The sequence below is a fragment of the Homo sapiens genome, chromosome 9, assembly GCF_000001405.40.
Source record: "Homo sapiens chromosome 9, GRCh38.p14 Primary Assembly".
In the NCBI taxonomy this organism is placed as follows: Eukaryota; Metazoa; Chordata; class Mammalia; order Primates; family Hominidae; genus Homo; species Homo sapiens.
In genome coordinates, this window is record NC_000009.12 from 4682325 (window position 1) to 4701465 (window position 19141).

The 19141-nt window shown below is 36.7% G+C and overlaps 1 protein-coding gene across 2 annotated transcripts in view; it reads left to right on the forward strand.

Annotated features, from left to right (window-relative positions):
• Positions 1 to 19141, forward strand: part of CDC37L1 (cell division cycle 37 like 1, HSP90 cochaperone) — a 28831-nt gene that overhangs the window by 2756 nt on the left and 6934 nt on the right. The window contains exons 2-5 of one of the 2 annotated variants that reach the window (NM_017913.4): positions 2553 to 2834; positions 6189 to 6282; positions 14772 to 14887; positions 15433 to 15555. In NM_017913.4, the coding sequence (NP_060383.2) occupies positions 2553 to 2834; positions 6189 to 6282; positions 14772 to 14887; positions 15433 to 15555 (615 nt within the window). Of the gene's footprint in view, positions 1 to 2552; positions 2835 to 6188; positions 6283 to 8565; positions 14888 to 15432; positions 15556 to 19141 lie in introns of those variants that run through there. The other variant, XM_047423583.1, reaches the window with a different exon arrangement.

A 19141-nucleotide genomic window follows, 5' to 3' on the forward strand; every position in this document is an offset into this window, starting at 1 on the left:
GCTAATTTTTTTTTTTTTTTGAGATGGAGTCTCGCTGTGTCACCCAGGCTGGAGTGCAGTGGTGCAATCTCGGCTCACTGCAACCTCTGCCATTCTGGGTTCATGCCATTCTCCTGCCTTAGCCTCCCAAGTAGCTGGGACTACAGGCACCCGCCACCATGCCCGGCTAATTTTTTGTATTTTTAGTAGAGATGAGGTTTCACCACGTTAGCCAGGATGGTCTCGAGCTCCTCCTCGTGATCCGCCCGCCTCGGCCTCCTGAAGTGCTGGGATTACAGGTGTAAGCCACCACTCCCGGCCATGCCCAGCTAAGTTTTAAAATATTTTTAGTAGAAACGGGGTTTCGCCATGTTGGCCAAGCTGGTTTCGAACTCCTGACCTCAGGTAATCCGCCCGCCTCAGCCTCCCAAAGTGCTGGGATTACAGGCGTGAGCCACTGAGCCCAGCCAAAAGAAGTTTTATATACAAAAGTTCTTACATCTTTTCTTACAAAATAAGTTATATAGCTTAATTTTTCTCCTTTTCCTGGCTCTGTTTTAAGCATAGCTAGTCTACAGTTATTCTTGATCCTATTCTAAGATAACTATTCTTGATCCTATTCTAAGATAACAAAAAGTAAAAATAAATATTTTATTTTAAAATATTATATTTTATATTAAAATATTTTATATTAAAATATAATATATATATTAAATATATATTATATTTATATATAAAATATATTTTAAAATATATTTTAAAATATACTTTATATATTTTATATATATATTTTATTTTTATATATAAAATATATTTTATATATATTTTATAATATATGAATATATATTATAAAATATACTTAGGGACATGGTTTATAGTACCTTGGCTCCAAACCTGCTGAATGAGTAAATAAAACATCTGAATAGCAAGTGTCCACATTTGTCCCAGTACAAACGTGAGTTTGCCTGAAGACTCAGCTAAGAGGTAGGGTCCTTGGTTACTACTTGCCTCAGAATTGTTTACCACCACCAGTCAGTAAACAAATAAGCATGATATTGTATGACAAACACCACAACAGAAATATGCATAACTTGGGTCGGGAGACACTGGGTCAGAAAAAGTTTAGGGCATGCCAGAATCTGGATGAAGATAGGAGTTTCTGTAGGAGTTACCTCGAAGAAAGAGGATTGCCAAATTGAAGTGAGGGACAAGGGTGGGAAAGGGAAGAATAAGCAAACAAGTAGAAGAGCAATGGGAACTGAGTCTAAAGAGGTAATGGGAAATAACATCACGAAGGGCTTTGCCACAGAGTATGTACTTTATCCCAAAGCTAAGAATGAAAAAAAAGATCAGATTCATTTTTTGGAAAGATCACTCCAGTCTAGTGGAGTGGAGAACGGCTTGGGATAAGAGTCTGCATTTGTATAATTCACATGTGAAATTATAAGGGCTTGAATAGTGATGCAGATATGGGAACAGATTGGAGAGAAATTATTCTGAAGTTGATGTACATTTGACGAAGAACTCATAAAGAATGTGCCTTCAGCTTTTGTTTTATAGAGCCAAGGAATATAGGGTATTGAATGTCTATCACAGTACTTTACATGTAGTAATTAAGTAAATAAAAGTAATTACTACTGCTTCGGAGTAGTACGGTCAGCAGGGTAGACCATTGTCACTTTTAAGAAATGTAACTTTGTGGCCAGGCGCAGTGGCTCATGCCTGTAATCCCAGCACTTTGGGAGGCCAAGGTGTGTAGATCACGAGGTCAAGAGATCAAGACCATCTTGGCCAACATGGTGAAACCCTGTCTCTACTAAAAATACAAAAATTAGCTGGGCATGGTGGCACATGCCTGTAGTCCCAGGTACTTGGGAGGCTGAGGCAGGAAAATCACGTAAACCCCAGAGGCAGAGGTTGCAGTGAACTGAGATCGCACCTTTGCACTCTAGCCTGGTGACAGAGCAAGACTCCATCACAAAATATATATATATATAATTTGCCTATTTTGATTAGGAATAAATTAAAGGATATCTGTCTGATATAATCAGTTATAAATGGAAATATCCAATAAGAACTTCTCAAATCACCAAGGATTGGAAAAATACAGATAGAAAATAGAAACCAAGAAACGATTACTTCTAGATAAAAGGAGGTTTTTTTGTAGTGAAGAATTTGGAGAACAAAATTATAAAGGCCTGGTTGTCAGCATGTTGAGTATTGAGGTGATGAACTAGATTTAAGCTTTGTTCTCATTATTCTGCTTGTTCAGGATTATGAAGACTATTAATTAAACGTTTGTTAAGCACTAGCTTTATGCAAGACACTGTGATAGTTGCCAGGCTTTTTGTTGCTGTTAGTTGTCAGGGGATAGGCCTAAATTAACAAAGAAGTTTAGAAGTTAGTTGATGAAACAAGGACTAAGATATAAAAACATGACTGCAGACCTAGAACACAGGATATACTATATACCAAAATATTGTACAGAAATCCTTTGAATTAAGAAAAATTGAACTGTGCTGCACAAACATCCATTGCTTTCTTCATTTCTTACAAATATTGTTTTTATCCAGATGTATAGCCATGGAATTGAATTGGCTTGCCAAAAGCAGAAAGAGTTTGTGAAGAGCTCTGTGGCGTGCAAATGGAATCTTGCTGAAGCTCAACAGAAACTTGGTAGCTTAGCACTGCATAATTCTGAGTCCTTGGATCAGGAGCATGCCAAAGCACAAACAGCAGTATCAGAACTGAGGCAACGGGAAGAAGAGTGGCGACAGAAAGAAGAAGCTCTAGTACAAAGAGAGAAGATGTGTCTGTGGAGCACGGATGCCATTAGCAAGGATGTTTTTAATAAGGTATGAGCTTTTACTGGGCCATAATGAAAGAAGAAAAACTGAAGTGTTTGTACAAACCAGTTGTGCGTATTTGGTAGCAAAGCAGCAGAATCCCATAAACAGTGTTCAATTTTGACAGTTTATGAAAGGTGCTTGAAAAGTTTATGAAAGTCAAAAAGTCTCAAAGCTCTTGCTGTAGAGCTGCAGACTCCAGGCAGTTAAGTGACCAGACTGAAATACATATTTATATAAATGTACTGCTGAACAAATATTACATATATTAAAAAACATTCACAAGAATTTGATATAAGGATGGGAAAATATATCAGTTATGAAATATTTTCCTCCACATATATTTTGTACCCCCTACACTGATTATCACTACTTTAGAGTTCCTTTAATGCAACTACCTTCTTTTTATAAATGAAGAAACTAAGTGGAAAAATAAGTAGAGTGACTTGATAACTTAGTGGTGGGTTAAATGTGAGAAATTCCTGACTCTGGGATTGAGAGATAAGATAAAGAGAAGTGTTGAATATCCTTTATTAAGTGCCTTTAAGAATGAAGGCTTAGACTTTTAAAATCTCATGTTTTTCAAACTTCAGGGTTTTATACCTCAGTTTTCCATTTGAAAACTAGAGTTTTTAGCGATTGATTTTCAAATGCATGAAAAGGGGAGAAAAGGCAAAACTTCATGAACTAGTATTTTAAATGTGGAATAAAATGATATTTATTGAAAAATAGGCCAGGCTTAGTTGTCCACACCTGTAATCCCAGCGCTTTGGGAGGCCAAGGCAGGCAGATCACTTAAGTCCAGGAGTTCAAAACCAGTTTGGTTGACATGATGAAACCCTGTCTCTATAAAAAATACGAAAATTAGCTGAGTATGATGGCATGTGCCTGTATTGCCTTAGTCCCAGCTACTTCGGAGGCTGAGGCTTGAGGATTACTTGAACCCAGGAGGTAGAGGTTGCAGTGAACCGAGATCGTGCCACTACACTCCAGCCTGGGCAACAGTGAAACACATCTCAAACTTCTTAATTGTCCTCTTGGCATCTGCTTTCACCCACTCTCATGAACTTTTTTAATTGCCTTTCCCTGGACCAGCTCTAGTTCTGCTACAGCAGTCAGTAACACACACAGATAAGTGTACATCGCCACTAGCCCTATCAGTACTTTAACAGTGAGTCATATCTTTCTCGACTTTCTCTGTGCCTGTACTAATTTATATATACTTTTTCTCCCCCTCCACAATGGGATCATTCTTTATCTGAGTCATTTGCTATATCTGTATATATTGTTTTAAGGGGTGCATCTTGTGTTATTTTCTGTTCTGCATTTATATCCCAAAACTATTGAAAATAATTTTTTTTCTTCCAGAAGGAATGTTCAAAGTAATATTTCTTGTTTTGTAAAGTTAATGTCTCTTCTTTAACACAGTGGTCACAAAGAAAATATTTTCATTTTGTCTCTGCTTTTAATTATTTCTTTAAACTTAGGTTCTAAGGTTCTAAGACAGCCTACATTTATCTCACAAATTAATTAGGACTATCTTTATGTTCCAGTCATTTGCTCAAAATCCTACACTGGTTTTGTCTGGGAGCTTGAGACTTGAGAGGACTGGTCTAGATCTGCACTATCCAACTTGATAGCCACTAGCCACATGTGCTATTGAGTGCTTGAAATGTGGCTAGTCCGAATTGAGATGTGCTGTAAGTGTAAAATACACACCAGATTCCAATGATGTAGTGCCAAAAAAAGTAAAATATTAATAATTGTTTTGTATTGCTTACATGTTGAAATGATAATAGGCTGGATATGTTAAGATAAATAAAATAATTTATTAATGTCATCTGTTTCTTTTTGCTTTTTAACGTGGCTAATAGAAAACTTTAAATTACATTTGTGACTTGGATTGTATTTCTATTGGACAGTGCTGGTCTAGATGTCAGACTGCATGAAGAAAAAATCTTTTATTTTGAAATATGTAAACTTTTGAGTGCTTCCTGATTATAAACTGGCAGTGATCTAGTTTGCAATTTTTATTTTTGGCAGTGATGATAACGGGGTATAAATATGATCACAGAATGTTCTAAGAAACTTCTGCCAGTTTTTCTAGCTAGATACAAACTTTATTCTTGGTATATTTTATGACTTATTTAACTGAAAATAAGTACTTCCTTAATAGAAATTTGTACTTGACTTTAAAAATCAAACTGTTTGGTCTCTTCTAAGAAGTTTATTAGAAATGCAACAAAGGGCCAGGCACAGTGGCTCATGCCTATAATCCCAGCACGTTGGAAGGCCAAGGTGAAGGGATTGCTTGAACCCACGAGTTCAAGACCAGCCTGGGCAACATAGCAAGACCACGTCTCTACAAAAAATTTAAAAATTAGCTGGGTATGGTGGCTCACACCTGTAGTCCCAGCTACTCTGGAGGCTAAGGTGGGAGGATCACTTGACCCCAAGAGGTTGAGGCTGCAGTGAGCTATGATTGTGCCACTGTACTCCAGCCTGGGTGACAGAGCAAGACCCCATCTCAAAAAAAAAAAAAAAAAAAAAAAGACACGCAACAACAACAGTCTATTTCTTGTTTATGTCTTAATAAAGAATTTACGGTAAATATCATTTATTCTCTATGTGCTTTGAATTTCTGAGTTTATTTCCAGCAAGAACTCGAAAGATTAGGCAAGAGTTGCAAATATTTATAGGAATTAAATAATGCACAAGTAAACTATGCATATAAAATATAAAGGATGTTTCTATACCTGCTTTTAATTGGGAAATTCAGCTTACCAAAAAGGTTAATTCAGTTGTTTTTCTGTATGATTTCTAAGATGAACCTATATCCACACATATATCGTATGTATTTTTTTGTGAGATGGAGTCTTGTTCTGTCGCCTGGGCTGGAGTGCAGTGGCATGATCTCAGCTCACTACAACCTCTGCCTCCTGGGTTCACGCAAGATTCTCCTGCCTCAGCCTCCCGAGTAGCCGGGATTACAGGCATCCACCACCATGCCCAGCTATTTTTTGTATTTTTAGTAGAGACGGGGTTTCACTATGTTGGCCAGGCTGGTCTTGAACTCCTGACCTCGTGATCCACCCGCCTCGGCCTCCCAAAGTGCTGGGATTACAGGCGTGAGCCACCACACCCGGCCTCATACATCATTTTAAACAAAATTAATAAGACTCCCATACAAGAAAATTTTAATTTTTAAAAATAGTTTACCAGATGAATTTAATCATGTAATATCAGTATGATACTATACCACATATATTGTCTATAGGAAGAATTGCTAGATATTCAGTATCTGAGAAAGAAGATTCAATTAGAATTTAAAATCTGATTTAAATTTCTAAAATTTTTTCTTAGAGTTTTATTAATCAAGATAAAAGAAAAGACACAGAAGATGAAGATAAATCAGAATCATTTATGCAAAAATATGAGCAAAAAATCAGACATTTTGGTAAGTCTACTACTTGGATTTCCTTCTTTGTAATGTTTGGTATCATATGTACATGTGCAAAAAATGGATTTATAAAAAGAGAGCCAAAAAGAAAAGTGGCAAACTCCAATTTTGTAGCTTCTGGCACAGCTGTATAGATCTTGTTTTAGAATTTTTTTTTTTTTTGGTTATAAATAAAATTAATTGACAGAGCAAACCAAATGGTAAAGAGAAGCAAAAGTATTATTATATAGTGTACTACCTTTAAGACAACTTTATGTATTCCATAGCCTCTTTCCATTTCCTAAGTAGTCTTTGCTTTTTTCTTTTTCCTCTTTGCTTCCTTGGAATCTGATTATCTTATGTTTTAAAGATTATTCATTTTTTTTCAGGTTTTGGATATGATGCTTTATAATTCAGGCAGATCCTTGAACTGTTACTCAGATAAATATAGTAATAGAAATGTATATATAAAGAACTGAAAAATAGGTTTTTTCTATTGGGGAAAAAGGGTAAGAGGGGGGTTGATACAAGTGAAGGCTTCCCAGAGGAGCCAGCATCTGAGCTTGATTTCAAGGAACAGATAGGAGTTTTTCATGTATAAGGGAGGCAAGCCAACAGCAACAGCATGAGACGGGCAGTTAGGAAACAGCATGGTGTGTTCTGAGAATTATAGGCAGCATGATACCGCTGGCATGAAAATGCTGCTGGGAAGTGTTAGGAGTTAAGGTTTAAAACTTTTTTTTTTTTTAATTCCAAGTAGTATGTTAATTTAGTAAACATGGTTTTTATTTGTAATATGTTCATGAACTTTTTACATGGCATTTTGAAATCTTTTTCCTGTTGGTGTTTATTTACCCAACGTTTTTTGAATTTCGTTTATGCTTCAGTTATGTCAATATAATAAATATTACTTTAAATTTTTTCCCTTCCTTTTATGTAATTTATTCGTAAAATATTCACTTTGCTCATACTTTTCATTTTAAAGAAAGAAAAAAGACTGTGTTTAACTAAAAAATAGTACCCAAGGAAATAAAGACAAAGTTTTTCTACATATAATCAATGTGGTATTATTTATAATGGAAAAAAAATGAATACACAGGCCTCCCTTGGACAGATAGTAAAATCTTAAAATGAGCAGAGCCTTGAGTCATAAGGATAGAAAGCAAAAAATTTGCACATGAATCTTAGTTGTGATATGTGAATTGCCACTCCCGCCTACAGTCCTTGCTTTCTAGGCCCATGTTTTGCTGCTGAAGGAAAAATAGTACCATATACTGATTGCTCTTTCAGAGCATGTACTGCATCTGGTGAAACAACATTCCTCAAGGTGTTTTCACCCAGCTGGCACTCTGAAAGTTGGTTGCTTTGAAGCCATGAGAAACCTAGTAAATGAGAAGCAGTTCTTTCACTTTTGCTGTAAGCTGAGTGCCTTGTTCAGAAGCAATTTTGTGTAGGAAAATATCCAAATATCACAAAGTGTTGTAACCCATCTGGCACTATGTATCTTCAGCATTTTATAAAACCTGCTTCTGGGTAGTGATGTTCGTGATGAGAACAGTGAATTTCATGAACCCTACAGTCTTCATTTCTTTTGCTGTAAAATGAGTTTCTGGGTCAAAAAATAGTGTGGTATGGTGAATAATTCATTTAGTAAGACTACAGATGTATTACTGATTAGAAGCATGGCAAGGAGGGAGGGCACTTCCACATCTAGAGTGGGCTCGTTCAAGTGAGGAATTACCAGTCCCTCTGAGATGAAGTGGGACCAGGGTAGTCAACCTGCTACTTGATGGCTGGCTGATCTCTGCAGTGCATTGTGCCGTATTGAGATTTTGGTGTTTTTCGCTACTAGTAAATTAGGTGTTCAGTGGCTAAACTGGATTAGGATACTAGAACATCCTTGAGGGGAGAGTCTACACTGTCGAATCTATGCATAATCACAAACCTATGCCACCACGACCCCTGAATTTATGAAACTATTGTGCAAATAATGAGATAGTTGAGGAAAAAAACTGACTTAACATCCACAGGTGATTAATAAGCAATCATTTTGCTGTTACGTGTTGTGAACTTCCAATATACTATCTTGTAATAAATATCAGAGCCTTGCTGTTTTCACACCCAGCCAGACCAATAGCCATTCCCAGAGTCACAATGTGCCTGTTTCTTACTGAAAATGCATGTTGTCTTTAACTTCAAAGGAGATATATTACTTGCCACAGCACACTGGATCCCCAGGAATGTTACAAAGGTAGTAGGCTCTCAAAATGTTCATGTGTTTTATTTCCCACTCTGGAATAGATATATCTTAACAAGAGACCTGGAATACCTGCAATTTCTGCTTTACCAAGTTCCATCAGTGGAGAGTGGACCAACTTGTAGTCATGGGGAATGATGAGATAATAATCCCTGTGGACTGAATTATGGCACAGAGTTGATAGAGGTGTGACACAAGACAGTGAAAATTTGTGGCTATGCCTGCTTGATGGAAGATTTCTGTTGTATGCTTATTGTGATGAAAGAAGAAAGCTTACCAAAATGATGACTATATTGGTATACTCCTTTATTTTGTTTTTTTGTTGTTGTTTAACTTTTGTTTTAAATTCAGGGGTACATGTGCAGGATGTGCAGGTTTGTTACATAGGTAAGCGTGTGTCTTGGGGATTTGTTGTACAGATTATTACATCACCCAGGTATTAAGCCTAGTATTCATTAGTTATTTTTCCTGATCCTCCCACCCTCCGCCCTTCGGTAAACTCCAGTGTGTGTTGTTCCCCTTTATGTGTGCATGTATTCTCATCATTTAGCTCCCGCTTATAGGTGAGAATATGCGGTATTTGGTTTTCTGTTCCTTTGTTAGTTTGCTTAGGATAATGGCTTCTGGTATACTCTTCTAAACACATCTGCAATAGGAGATGTAATTAAAGCTTCCAGTTGGAGGCTTTCTGGACTTGGATTGCATTCTGGACTCTTGGTTGACACGGGCCTGGTGTGTGTGGGGGCTGTATAGGGCTATAGGGGCTTTACACCCATGTTTCTCTGTGGTCTTATTTGTACTTATATTCTTCAGAGTTTTTCCTAACTTTTCCCTTATACAATTTGTTGACTGCCTTTCTTGTGCTGCTTTTACCCTTACAATTAGGTGGAATTTACCACCTAGTGGTAAATGGTACAATATATCATGGACTATTATAAAGCATTGAAATCTGACTTTTTCCTCTACATTTGTATTTAGTTTATTAATTTAGTTAATTCACGTTTTATAAATATAAAATATTAATTTAAAAACAAAGGCTTTTATCTCTTAAATTTCACAACCGTTATATTCACAGTTATATGCATGTTTGACATCACTGGCTTTATGGTCATCAGAGCTGCTTTTTGAGTCATCTAATTTTCAGAGCACATCATCTTCACTTTCAGCCAAAGTTAGCTGTGATTCAGCTTTTTTTAATCTGTGTAGGATGTTGTCACTGGAAATTTTACCAAGAGCTATAAAAGTTTGCTCAAATACTATGATAGAAGTTTTTTCGTTTGTTCTGACTATGAATATTTACAACCTCTTCAATGTAATTGTTCATTGCTTTTAAAAAACATATCAATATCTTATTTTTGAAAAACATTTAATATAAAGCACTCTTACATATGAAGTGAAATGAATAGAAAATGTATATGATTTTAATGTTTTTTTTTTTTTTGAGACGAAATCTCGCTCTTGTCCCCCAGGCTGGAGTACAGTGGTGTGATCTCAGCTCACTGCAACCTCCGCCTCCCGGGTTCAAGCGTTCCTGCTGCCTCAGCCTCCCGAGTAGCTGGGATTACAGGCGCCTGCTACCACGCCTGGCTAATTTTTGTATTTTTAGTAGAGATGGGGTTTCACCATGTTGGCCAGGCTGGCCTTGAACTCCTGACCTCAAATGATCCGCCCGCCTCGGCCTCTCAAAGTGCTGGGATTACAGGCGTGAGCCACCACTCTGAGCCTTAATTTTGGTTTTTTAAAAAGTCATTCAAAAATATGCCTGGAAGGAAATACATCAAAATGTTAACAGTAATCTCTTGTGGTAGAATTACAGCTAACTTTTATTTTCCGGATTTTAAAAATTCTTCATAATAAATAAACTTTATTTTTATAATCTGAAAAAAATTTTTCAAAGCGTTTATCCTAAGAATCAAAATGGCTTAACATTAGAAAACTCATTAATGTGATTCACTGTATTAACTGATCATAGTAGTATAACCACAGGACTTGGTGGTCAATTTGATGTGGGAGAAATGGAAATGTCAGAGGAATTTCTAGAATGCTTGATTTGGTAACATGGAGCCTAGGAAACATTGTAGGATGGCAGAGAGACAAGTATGGGTTTGGTTTCAAGTAAGATGGGTTTACGTGCAGGCATATCAGTAGAAATGCATATGGTGGTAGACGATTGGAAATAGAGGAGATCTGGAGTTTAGGAATATGGGAAATGATCATACAACTTTCCTCAAGTAATTCACAAACTACCTGGGAGATTTTTAGTACACAGAGAAATTAAAATGAATTAGTGTAGTTTGTTAAAATATATCATTCTAAGCCTGGCATAGTGGTTCTGCCTGTAATCCCAGCACTTTGAGAAACTGAGGCTGGAGGATCACTTGAGCCCAGGGATTCAAGACCAGCCTGGGCAACACAGTGAAACCTCATCTCTACAAAAAAAAAAAAAAATTCGTCAGGTGTGGAGGCTTATACCTGTAGTCCCAGCTACTGCAGAGGCTGAGGTGGGAGGATCTCTTGAGCCCAGGAGGTTGAGGCTGCAATGAGTTGTGATTGCACCAGTGTACTCTAGCCTAGACAACAGAGGAATAACCTGTCTCTCAAGATAAAGAAATAAATTAATTAATAATAATAATAATTCTATAAGTGTAATGAAAGAGGAAAGGGAAATCAGTAATAAGGAAGGACGTGTATTTCAGGACCATTTTAGGAATCAGGTGGCATATTGAAGGTTGATGATGGATTGAGATTTAGACGTTCACTAGGGAAATATATAGGTTAAAGCATATGATTAAAATATCTAAACTTGTCAAAGTGAGGTTTTCCAAGCATTCAGAGAAATTGTTTGGCTAGTTTAAATGACTGTATTATCCTTAACCAAAGGATTAGCTAAATAAACATTTTGAATGGGTGCTTATCATTTATCGAGTATTTACTATGTCTCAGGCACTGTTCTAAGTGCTTTATATGAATTAATAGCATTTAATTGTCATGAAAATCCTGAGTTAGGTACTATTTTTAGCCCTATTTTACAGAGGAGGAAATGGAGGCATATAAAGGGAACTGCAGTAGTAAAATGGTGAAGCCAGTATTTGAACCTGGGCCATTTAGCTCTAGTCTGTCTTCTCAGCCGCTGTCTTAAATTGTTACTCTCCATTTGTATACAAGTTTGTTTACAAATTCCAAAATAATATCAGTAATTTGAGGTATATGCTGTTCCACTGAGTTGTTGATTCTCCTTATGTGTTTTATTTTTGAAACAGAGTCATTTTCTGTCACCCAGGCTGGATTACAGTCACAAGATCATAGCAACTGCAGCCTCAATTTCCTAAGCTCAAGCAATCCTCTTGCCCCAGCCTTCCAAGTAGCTGGGACTACAAGTGTACTCCGCCATGCCTGGCTAATTATCTCATTTTGTGTGGAGACACGGTCTCATTTTGTTGCCTAGACTGACCTAAAACTCCTGTGCTCAGGTGATTCTCCTGCCTTGGCCTCCCAAAATGCTGGGATTACAGGTGTGAGCTACTGCGCCCCACCTGTCTTTATTTTGTTCATAAAATTCCACACTCTTTCCACAAAGGTCTGTATCGACTACCTGTAACTGAACTTCTCAATTTCATACTAATTCAATGTGCATTTTTGAAATCAAGTGATAGTATTTCTCAGATTTAAAAAAAAAATGTATTTTCAATGTCAAGTGTTAATTCGTCTCAGGTATTAAATAGGTAGTTAAAAAATATTAACATTTGGCAGGGAGTGGTGGCTCACACCTGCAATCCCAGCACTTTGGGAGGCCGAGGCAGGTGGATCATGAGGTTAGGAGTTCGAGACCAGCCTGATCAACATGGTGAAACCTTGTCTCTACTAAAAATACAAAAATTAACTGGGCGTGGTGACACACGCCTGTAATCCCAGCTTCCAGGAGGCTGAGGCAGGAGAATTACTTGAACCCAGGAGGTGGAGGTTGCAGTGAGCTGAGATCGTGTTGCTGTACTCCAGCCTGGGCAACAGAGTGAGACTCCATCTCAACAAAAAGAAAAAAAAAATTAACATTTAATGATACCCTTCCCCATGGCCCCAAGTGTCAGGAACCCTTTCATGTTATCCTTCCTGCAAAATAAACCAGAATGGATAAGGCTTTTGGTATTTCAGTAAGTCACAATGCTGCCATGAAGAAGTAAACAAGAGGAGCAATGCTTTATCGTGGATGGTAGATAGAGTTGAAAATATTACCTCTCCAGAAGTGTAAGAAAGCTAAGGCAAAACTGCTTCATAGGATTTACTTTGTGGGTTCAAGTATAAGAAATAAGGATTGTGCTTTCTTTAAATCTGAGTCCCAGGAATCATTAGGCTTTTTTAAGAGATATGGTCTTGCTCTGTCACCCAGGCTGAAGTGCAGTGGTGAGGTCATAGCTCACTGCAGCCTCCACCATCTGGGCTCAAGGTGTGCTCTCACCTCAGCCTCCCAAATAGTGGGGATTACACCACGCCTAGCAATATTCTTATACTTTAAGAAGTAGTTTTAAGTAACTTCCATAATCATTCTGTTTCTCAGAACTTCAAATGACCTAATCATTATGTCCAAAGCGTTGGGGAAATAACTTTATAAAGCTTAGAATACTCTATGAGAAAATGCTACAGTCTTTATCCTTTTTTTTAATCCTTTTAAGAGATGAGGTCTCGCTGTATTGCCCAAGCTGGAGCACAGTGGTTCCATCATACCTTCTGCAGCCTCTAGCTCCTAGGCTCCCAAGTGATCCTGCCCCCTCAGACTCCCAAGTAGCTGGGACTACAGGTGCACACTACCATGCCCAGCTAATTTTTAAGCTTTTTCTGTAGAGACAGGGTCTTACTATGTTGCTGAGGTTGGCCTGCAACTCCTGGACTCCACCATTCCTCTGGCCTCAGCCTCCAAAAGTGCTGAGATTACAAGCATGTGCCACCATGCCCAGCTTATCTCCTTTGAGACAGAGTCTCTCGCTCTGTCGCCCAGGCTGGAGTGCTGTGGTGCAATCTCGGCTCGCTGCAACCTCCGCCTCCTGGGTTCAAGTGATTCTTGTGCCTCAGCCTTCCAAGTAGCTGGGATTTACCTGCCACCATGCCCAACTAATTTTTATATTTTTAGTAGAGACAGGGTTTTACCATGTTGGCCAGGCTGGTCTCGAACTCCTGACCTCAGGTGATCCGCCTGCCTTGGCCTCCCAAAGTGCTGGGATTGCAGGCATGAGCCACCGTGGCTGGCCCCACCCCCTTTTTTTAAGTGAGGAGAAAATGAATCATTTATTTTTGATTGACTCACATTGTTGCTGTGTATTCTCAGTAGGACATTTGTCTTCAGTTTTGTTCTTTCTTGTGTACTGATGTGGAATTAAATATATAGGAGTTCATTTTGCACCTACAGGAAAAGTTTACTGCTAAACTCTTGAGTCAGCTCTACAAAATTTCCATGAATATCCAGACTTCTTTGCATGAGTCTAAGGAATCTAAACCTAACATTGCTATATTGAATTTATTCAGTTAGCCAGGCACAGTGGCTCATGCCCATAATCCCAGCACTTTGGGAGGCCTAGCCAGGAGAATATCTTGAGGCCAGGAGTTCAAGACCAGCCTGAGCAACATAATAAGCCTCTCATCTTTATGGAGAAAAAAAAGAAGAGAAAAAAAGAAAAGAAAAAAATCTATTCAGTTATGACTGACTGGACAACATTAAAAAGTCAACACTTTGCTGGTTCCGTGATTTCTTGGTGGTATTGACTTTGACCAAATTTCCTGCTAATTTAGATAAAGGTGTAGATATAACTTAAATAGTATTTGGATTTCTTTGACACCTTGAAACAAAATGACAACCATTTTCAAATATGCTTAACTAATTTTTAAAAGACTTTGTTTATAACAGACATCATGAGTAAATGGCTTACATAACTAACTCTCAATTTGCCCAAGACTGCGGGCATTCATGGATGTAGGACTTTTTAATATTGAACTGGCCACTCTGGCCTGATTAATTATCTGAAATAAAACTTCCTGTGAATTTTAGGAGCTATTTCCAGTCTACTGAGTATTGCTTTAAAGAGTACTGTCCCTCACTTGCTCTTTTACCATAATCTGTTGCTCTGGTAATATGAATTGTCTTTAAAGAGAATCATTTAAAAATACCATTGAGAGATTAATGAATTAAGAATGGTTGGTATTTCTTCCCTTATGGGAAGAAAGAAAATATTTGACACTTATGGTTCAATTCTTTTTTTTACAGGTATGTTGAGTCGATGGGATGATAGCCAGAGATTTTTGTCTGACCATCCATACCTTGTATGTGAAGAAACTGCTAAATATCTTATTTTATGGTGTTTTCACCTGGAAGCTGAGAAGGTATTATTATGTGAACCTTGAGTTTCTGGGAACCTTAGTGGAAATCTGATTTCATACTTTATTGATGTTTTGTTTTGTTTTCTACATTAAGTCCTTTAAAAGAAAGCAGGAAGGTCATTAGATGGAATTACCATTTTTTGCTTCCAGATCTACTTGAGTTTAATGTGGGATTTTGTTGTTGTTGTTGTTTCAGTTAGCATACAGAAACTTTTCCACTATGCTTTCTCTGCCACTCCACCTCCATCTCTCTTGTTTTCATATTACTATAATCCTTTTCAAACTAATTTGAAAGTCGTATTTTAAAAATCCAGACGGTAATCATGGTATTAAATCAAGTTCAGAGCATGGTCTTCCTTTAGTTATTCTGGTCCACATACAAATAATAAAAAAAAAACTAAGATATACTCTTTATATGTTTGTAAAGTATTTGACTTATAACTTAAGAGAGTAAAATCAAAAGTATTTTAAAAATTCAAAATTTGAATCAGTATGCCAATTAAATATATTTATATATTTGTTTCTTATATCATTTAAATCTTTTTCAGAAAGGGGCTTTAATGGAACAAATAGCACATCAAGCTGTTGTAATGCAGTTTATTATGGAAATGGCCAAAAACTGTAATGTGGATCCAAGAGGGTGTTTTCGTTTATTTTTCCAGAAAGCCAAAGTAAGTAGTTATTTGATATTGATAAATGGGAAGATTTGGTCCCAGCTGAGACCTCTTTGTTCTGTTCATATCAATAGAAGGCATCCAAGCAGGATGCCACAGGCTAAATTCTGTAGATTTTCTTGTGAAAAGAAAATTTATATTGCTAATTTCTTGCTAATTTAAACTTAAAAGAGCTATATAAGAGGCTGTACTACAGCATGTATATGAAATTGAGACCCATTTAAATGAATGTGTGTATTCAGGAAACTTACGTTCCATCATTAATTCATTCAGTAAATACTGAGTGCCTAATGCAAAGCACAGCTGTTTCAGATGCTCAGGATGCATTATTGAGCAAAATAGATACAGGATTCTTCATGTGTAGAACTCAGCAGTTTAATGAGAAATCAGACTTTTATAAAGAAAAAATAGGAAGCAACCTAAAAATTCAGCAATTAAGGGAATAGTTAAAAATACCCATGGTACATAGAATATCATGCACCCTTTAAAATTATATTTATGGAACTTTTGTAATGAGCTGAAGAAATGCTTACGCTATGAATTCACAGGAAGCAGTACATACTAGATGATGTTGGCTATGTTGAAGAAAAATAGATGTCTAGAAAGATTAAGTACCTTTCACACTCACAAGATTTGCAGTAATTTAAAAGCTGCCCAAGAAGTAGGGCAATAAGAATTTGCGTTCACTGCTAGTGGAAGTATAAATTGGAACAACCACTTTAAAAAATTTCCTAGTAAAGTTGAACAAGTGCCTGCCTTAACACCCAGAAATTCTCCTAGGTGTATGCATCCTAGAGAGTAGATTCTCAAGGTGGGGTCCAGGAACCCGGAGGGGCTTCAAGACCTTTTCAGGAGGTTCTCTGTCGAAACTATTTTCATAATAATACCAAGATGTTATTTTTAATTTTCATTTTCATTCCTCAGTAGTGTACAATAGAGATTAATGCGGAAGTACAAATATGAGAATCTAGCCATCTTCTGTAAAGTCAGACATTAGATTTAGAAAAATTAAAGGAAAAAGCAGCTCTCTTCTCACTAAATTTTTTTGTTTTGGAAAACTTTTTTTTTAAATAAAAATGTTATTAATGGTAGTGTAATGAGTTTGTCATTGTTATTTTTAGTTAATGTTTTAAAAATTCCTCAGTTTTCATTTCTAACAGTAAATACTGACAGATACAACTCACATAAACAGAAGCTCTTTAGGGTCCTCAATAATTTTGAAGACTGTAAAGAGAACTGCTGCGCTAGAGAAACTCTTACACATATGTACTAGATTGCCGTAATGTTCATAGTAGATTGTAATAGCTAAAAGCCTGGAAACAATAAATAAATTGTGGTGTAGGTTGAGTATTCCTAATCCAAAATCCAAAACGCTCCAAAATCCAAAACTGTTTGAGCATCGACATGACACTCAAGGGAAATACTCACAGATTTTGTGTTTTCAATTTAGAGATCTTCACTGGTAAGTATAATGCAAATATTCCCAGATCTGAAAAAACTGACAATCTGAAAAACTTCTGGTGCCAAGCATTTCAGATATTCAACCTGTATATTCATTCTGTAAAATACTAGCCAACATCAGCATGGATGGAAAAACAAGAGAGTGAATCAAACAAACCACAGAGTGATGTATCTGTTTAGATAGATGCTAAATGGATATATCTAGTATCAATGTTCGTATTTTGTATTTTTTTATAAAGTATTTTTTTAGTGACAGGCAGAACTAAATAATATATTGTTGAAGGATACATATATAAGCAGTAAAACTAAAAAGCAAAGGAATAATTAAGAAGACAAAAGTTACAATAATGATAACCTCAGGGAGGGAGGGGGAATGCTCTTGGGAACTGGTTTCTAGGATCCTAGTAATGATCCATATCCTAATTTCTATGGGTAAATAGTGGGGGTTTTGCTGAATAAACTGTGCGCATATCTTTTACATGCTCTTCTGCACATAGGATATATTTGAACATATACAATTAGAAGTTAAAAGGAAGTATACCAAAAGTTTAACTTTGGTTATACTTGTGTGGTGAAATTATAAATAATTTCCGTTTTCTTTTTCATGTACTACAATGAACATTTCCTATTATAAACATAAAATTATATTTTTATATTAAAAAAAAACTCTCAATGTGGCAGTAGTCCTAACTTAAATACCCTAAACTCTTCTGAAATGCAACCAAAATATGAAATTTTCCTGAAACAGTTGAACTTTAATAGCAAATGCTTGACTTGATATTTTAGCTAGGCTGCTTCTGGTGACTAGTCTAAACTTTTGTTTGTTTTTAGAGATAAGGTCCTGCTCTGTCACTCAGGCTAGAGTGCAGTGGTGCAATCATTGCTCACTGCAGCCTTGAACTTCTGGGCTCAAGCAATCCTCCTGCCTCAGATTCCCAGGTAGCTGGGACTATAGGCACATGCCACCATCCCCAGCTAATTTTTTGTAGAGACACGGTCTCACTGTGTTGCCCAGGCTGGTCTCGAACTTCTGGGCTCAAGCTGTCCTCCTGCCTTAACCTTCCAAAATACTGGGATTACAGACATGAGCCACCACACCCGGTCTCTTCTAAATTTTTACTTGACACTTAAGAGTAGTAAAAAACATACTTTCCTTTTTATCTTACATTAATGGATGTGTTTAAACTGGTGTTTAATAAAATAATGGAATGTGGCCAAATCATATATATTGTTTGACATTTACTTTACCAAAGTAAAACGGAAAGGCACTGGTCTTCAATCTTAACATTGTATGCTTAATAATACTTTTTTTTAAATTATGAAATAATCACTTTCATGGTATGCTTACTTTGTTCCAGGGACTATTCTAAGCACTTTACATGTATTAACTCATTAAATTCATATAACATTTTATGAGGATTACTGTTGCTATCTTATGGGTGAAGAAATTGGCATAAAGAAATTAAGTAAGTGGCCCACAAATTACTTAATAATACAAAATCTGTCATCACTCTATATCTAAATCCCTAAACCTTAAGCATGCAATGAGGACAGCAATTGTGCCTCTTAATTTTCAGAAAGAATCCTTATGGATATTACATACTCTGTGTCCACACAAGTTCTTATAAAGTGAGGTGCTAAAATGTAATTAAGGAAATTCTTCCTAAATTTACAAGAAGATAGGATGGCAGCACAGAACACTCTCTGCATTATTTCAATAGAAGCTGATGGTAGTAACTAATCCACAGGTTTTAACCTGTTACGCAACCTAAAATCCATTTGACAAGATCTCTTCCACTACTTGAACTTAAAGCCTGCATTCTATTGGTAGGATAAATCTCTGTATCATTTCTCTATATTCAGAGGAAACATAAACAGAGGCAGCTGCCAATAGGGAGTTGCCTAAGAGTTCCACTCCCTCGACCTAAGTTATCATACTTTTTCTTTCCATAATATTGAAAAGAAGGTACTTGCTTAACTAGAGCAAGATGGTTCCATAATGACGTTGACTATTGAATTCTATTTGGTTTTCGTAGCTCTTTTAAGTAGGGAATATACAGTTAGAAAATTACTAGGAACAGGTAATAGTGCCCCCTCATTAATTGTTGGAGAATTAAAAGGT